This window comes from Homo sapiens, chromosome 12 (genome assembly GCF_000001405.40).
Source record: "Homo sapiens chromosome 12, GRCh38.p14 Primary Assembly".
Classification (NCBI taxonomy): domain Eukaryota; kingdom Metazoa; phylum Chordata; class Mammalia; order Primates; family Hominidae; genus Homo; species Homo sapiens.
Genome location: NC_000012.12, coordinates 63,040,715 through 63,046,262, shown reverse-complemented (window position 1 = coordinate 63,046,262; position 5,548 = coordinate 63,040,715). Strand labels below are relative to the sequence as shown.

The 5,548-nt window shown below is 39.5% G+C and overlaps 1 annotated feature.

Moving 5' to 3' along the window:
• Positions 748-948: a silencer, noted in NCBI's record as "peak1754 fragment used in MPRA reporter construct". NCBI's record gives its function as "represses an SCP1 promoter by STARR-seq MPRAs in K562 erythroleukemia cells {active_cell/tissue: K562}" and the evidence as "EXISTENCE:reporter gene assay evidence [ECO:0000049][PMID:32103011]".

Sequence of the window (5,548 nt, the reverse complement as noted above, 5' to 3'; positions counted from 1 at the left end):
AGCTACTTGGAAGGCTGTGGTGGCAGGTTGAGGCTGCAGTGAGCTGTGACCACAGCAGTGTACTCCAGCCTAGGCGACAGAGTGAGACTCTGCCTAAAAAGAAAAAAGATTGGGAAACTGGCAACATTGCCTTAATTGGTTTCCAAGTGTTTAATATTTTTTTAAAACTAGTCTCCCACCCCATGGGAGCATTTGGTAAATGCTCCCCGTATAAATAAAACATTTCAGAAAACGTCCCTTGGGTGAGTGAAAATCAAAGAGCAGATCTGAGCCTTACCCGTCTATTTTCTGAAAGATATCAATCCATACCCAGAAAGCTTCTTTTAAGAGAAGTGATGTGTTTCTTTTCTTCAGGAGTTAAAGAGAAGATTTGATTGATGTCCTCAAATACTGGTCAAGTCTAAGGGAACATTTTTAAAGATCTAAGGTTTAATGGGGTTTGAAGAGTTCTTTTTTTTTTTTAATCTACATTCAAGTGGATATATTTTTCTTCATCATTTTTCCTGGTTTTGTGTTTTCTGAAATTGCCTGCCTGCTTGTCTCTTGGTATTTCTGAATTCTTTCCAGTCATTGCTTGACTGGGAATACATTCCTTTTCTCTTATACTACTTTATTGAAGTTTTGTTGAAAAAACAATCATGAGGAGAATGAGGAATACAAAGCAGGTTGGTAATGGTCAGAGCTGCTGACTTTAATATAGAAATAACCTAGGCCTCAGGTGGGGGTGAGTGGGTGAAAGAGAGATTCAGACACTCGCCTCACCACCCAGAGAGTGGAATGTCCCTAGTATCACGATTTCTTGCTTTCTTTGGAGGGCAGCCCCTAGGGCTGTTTCGGGGAAAAAAAAAAAATCATTCCATTGCATTCCTGAAGACTGTGATCATGTATTTCTTTCCCTTGCTGGATTCTTCATAAACTTAACATGGCTCAGAGCCACTGCCCATCAGGCTGGTAACTACAGGCCTGAGTTCTGAATTCTTATCTTCACTTGTCAGTTCCTGCACCATAATAGCAGAATCACAAGTCCTGGATACCCTGATAGTCCAGTAAGGGGTGTGTGTGTGTGTGTGTGTGTGTGTGTGTGTGTCTGTGTGTGTGTGTGTAGGATCATAAACATAGTAATACTGACCCTCTATGTGTCGGGGACAGTTTATGGGCCATACATGTAGTAGTGATCAAGACATACAAGGACCCTTGCTCACAGGGAACTTTCTGTCTTAGTCTATTTTGTGCTGCTATTGACTTGAGACTGAGTAATTCATCATGAACAGAGATTTATTTCTTAAGTCTGGATCTAAGGTTGAGGAGCCCACATGTGATGAGGGCCTTCTTGCTGCATCATGCCATAGCAGGAGGCAGAAAAGCAAGTGGGCACATGCATGTGAGAGAAATGGGGTCAAACTCACCCTTTTATCAGAAACCCATCAGCCTTAATCCATTCATGAGGGCAGAGCCCTCATGACCTAATCACCTCTTGAAGGACCCACCTCTCAACACTGCATTGAGGATTAAGTTTCTGACACATGAACTTTGAGGGACATATTCAAACCATCGCACATTCTGAGACAGGATTTGAGCAAGAGTATAAAAATTGGATAGAGAAAGAAAGGAAAGAATGTAGGAAGGAAAAGAAAGAAAGAAGTGTTGGATATGATAACTATTAGGGTGATGGGATGGAAAGATATGAGTCAGCAGGAGCTCCTGTAGATTGAGTGGTCATCAAGTGTCTCTAGGAGGAGATGAAACTCGAGAGTTAAATGAGAAGCAGTATACCATTATACAAAGAACAATTGGAAGAATATTTCAGCAGAGGAAAATGCTAGTGCAAAGGCCTTTGAGTTGGAATAATCTCAGTGTGTTTGAAAACTAATTCTATGGCTGGAGTGGAGTGGGCAAGGGAAGAGTGGTAAGAGATAAGATCAGAGACATAAGCAGGGCTGAATTATGGAGGGCTTTGCCAACTATTGTAAGAGTTCAGGTTTTATTTTAAATGTGATTAAAAGCCACCCAGAGATTCTCAGGTAGGATAAGATTTGGGGGTGACTCAATCTTAGATACATTTTTATAAGATCACACACTGAAGTACATTTTAAAAGATCACATGTTTTTAAAAGAAAATATTGTGAAGAATATTCTGTAGCAAGGTACAAGAAAGGAAGAAGGAATCCCCGTCGGGGAGATGTTGCTGTAAGAACAGGTGTGAAGGGATGGTGGCTTATACTAGGGATGTGGTGAAATGGGTAAGTGGAGAAATGAACAATTATAAGTGATAGAGATGACAAGACCAATAGATGGAATGGAGATGGGGAGTAAAGTAGATAAAGGTTTAAGTTAAGTTGTACATTTTTGGTTTGAGGAATTAGGTGGATGGTGGTACCTCTTGCTGGGATGGGTAAGGCTGGTGGAAAATAAGACCAGGGAGAGCTGTGAGTCAGGACTTGTTTTGACCATGTTATTTCTGCAACATCTAATTGAAGATGTCAAGTTGGCCATGGATGTACAGGTTCAAGGACTTAAATTTCACAACCAAGATTTGATTTGCCTCTTATATAGATGAGATCTGACTGGGTTTTGGACATAGCCCTAGTTCACTCCAACATTTAGAGTTTAGGAGAAGAGGAATTATCAGCTCAGTGAGGTAAAAAGAGAACCAAAAAAGTCTGATGTCATGAAAGCCAAAAAAGGGAGACATTTCAAGAAGGATGGAGCAGGCAATTGTGTTGATTCTTGCTGAAAGAGGAGAAAGAAGTGACCTATAGAGTTAGCAACATGGAGGTCATAGCAGAACAATCTTTGAGATATGATGTGGATTGAAGCGTATTTGGAGTAGGTTAGGTATATGGAGGTAGAGATCTTAACTAGAAATAACTCTTCCAATAAGTTTACAGTCAAGGTAGTTTGTTTTTTTTTAAAAAAAATTAGGAGATTAGGAGTATGTTTGTACACTGATGACTGTGTGAAATACAATTCGGTATTTGGAAAACATAGTGAAATATAACTTTCGTAGAAATACTTAGAAATTTAAAACACCACTTGATCCCTCTTAGTGGATTAATATTTTTGTGGAAAGAAATTCCTCCTTTTCAAATGTGGAAAGTTTGTTAATTCTCAAACATGTTGAAGCCTAAGAATACCTTGTGAGTACTGTACTTCAGGGGCGATGTAGACGTCCACAGTCTGAAGTAGTTTTTTACACAAAGCAGAAAGAATAAAAGGTTCTAGTACTTCTGAAAGTAATGAATGCAGAATTGTAGACAGTTTGAAAAGAAGGAATATTTTCATAAGCAGAAAGTTAGGGAAGTATCTAATTCAAACCTTAGGAAAAGACACAAATCCAATTTATTTATTTTAAAAAATGAACATGTATGTTAGTCATCTGGATCAAATAGGAAAGGCAAAAGTGAGTCACTACAGAAGTAGAGATTACAGGCAGGTCTAGAGGATGAAGACCAATTTCGTGAAGCACTTGGGGAGTGGTGAATAGGGTAAGTTTGAACATCTTGGTAGCATGAACAAAGGCAGGAAGACATGAGTAATACATAGGAGAGCAGAAGATAGTCAAGACTGACTGGGACAGGGACTATGAAAAGGTAAGAATATGAGGATAAATTGGGGCAATATTCTATATGGTTTGAATGTTGAGGCAAGGAATTAATTTTGCAAAAATGTGGTACGGTTGGAAGTTTTTGAACAGAATAATGGCCGTTAGTGTTTCCTTTTGATATTAAAATAAATATTCTGGCCTAGACTTTCTCTAAGGATTTCATAATATGAGGCTTTGAAGTGGTCAAGCCAACAAGTGTCTTGGAGAATATGAAAACTAAAACAATAATAATGACCATGTCCTTTTCTTTTTTTTTGAGAATTATCATATGGCAGACACTGTGCTAGGTGGTTTACAGTTAGCAATCACATTAATCCTGTGAGGTAGGTGTTATTGTTCTCACTTTATAGATAAGAAGAAAGCCTCAGTGAGGCTTAATAGCTTGCTTAAAGCTGCATAAATAAACCAGTATGAAAATTTAGCTGACTCTGTCTAAGAAGCCAGAACCAAATATTTCTTGCCCTTGAGAATTTTACACTCTTGTTGGGGAGATAAAACCTCTCTATATGAAATGTTTATAACTCCCACACTTACTATTTTTTTATTTGTATGTAACTTTGTATGGATTACCTGTGTTCTTACTAAATTATCACTATGCAATGAATCCAAGCTCTTATACTCGGATTTTGGTATCAATCTGAAGTTTAAGATGGCAGTTCCTGTATGGATTGGAGTTCTACTTAAAACATTAGTCCACTTGGCTGGAGTCCAGTCTTGTATAGATCTTTTCTTGTTCTCTGTTAATTTTGTGGTTCTGATAACAGAGAACCACAATGCCCAGCCCAGGCCACTGCTTCACAACACCAGGAGCATCATTCACACTATGGTTGACACAGTTGGCACTAGTTGTGCAGTTGGTTGGCCCTGCTTCAGGTCTCCTATTGTGCTGAAATTAAACCCCTACAGACGTTGAGGCCCAGGTGCCCCAACCCAAGTGTGATGGTTAATTTATGTGTCAACTTTTCTGGGCTAAGGGATGTCCAGATAGCTGGTAAAACATTATTGCTGGGTGTGTCTGTGAGTATGTTTCCAGAAGACATTAGCATTTGAACTAGTGGACTGAGTAAAGAGATCACCTTCACCAATGTGAGTATCATGCCATTCATTGAAGGCCCAAGATAGAACAAAAAGACAGGGGCAGGATGAATTTACTGTCTTTTCTTGAGCTGAAATATCTATCTTCTCCTGCCCTTGGACATCGGAGCTCCTGGTTCAGGGGTGTTCAGGGTCTGGGAGTTACACTAATGGTCTCCCCAGCTTCTCTCTGTTTCCCCACTTCTCAGGCCTTCTCAACTTAGAATTATACCATTGGCTCCCCTAGTTTCCAGGACTTCAGACTCAGACTGAATTACACCTCTGGTTTTCCTGGTTCTCTAGCTTCCAGATGGCAGATTGTAGGACTTTCCAACTTCCAAAGTTGCATGAGTTAACGCCCATAATAAATATATTATTATGGGCGTTAACTATTATAAATATACCTACTGGTATTATAAATATACCTATTGGTTCTGTTTTTCTGGGGAACCCTATCTAATACTTCAAGTTTCCCATCATCCTGTGGGCCCTATATCATGGACTGTTGACTCCATCTTTAAGGACCAGAGGACTCCTCTCTGGCCCATTCTTTGAGCATTTCACCCTTCCTTCATTCCTGAACTACCAAGAGCCTAGTGTGCCTTCTACCTGAACTTCGTGCAATGATTAGGAAAAGGATTTAAGAACCTGAGCAGTGAATTCAGAGGACATGTCAGAAACATATGAAATTCTTTAGAAAACAGAGCAAAGAGATGTATTCGTTCATTCACTTATTCACCCATCAAATACTATTGAGTATGTAGGGATAGGTGAGACAAGTCCAGCTTCATGGACATAGAATGTGTGTAGTCATAGAGGGTCCCATGCTCAGAAAGGCCCTGTGGTTGGTTTAACACGTTGTTGTCACCA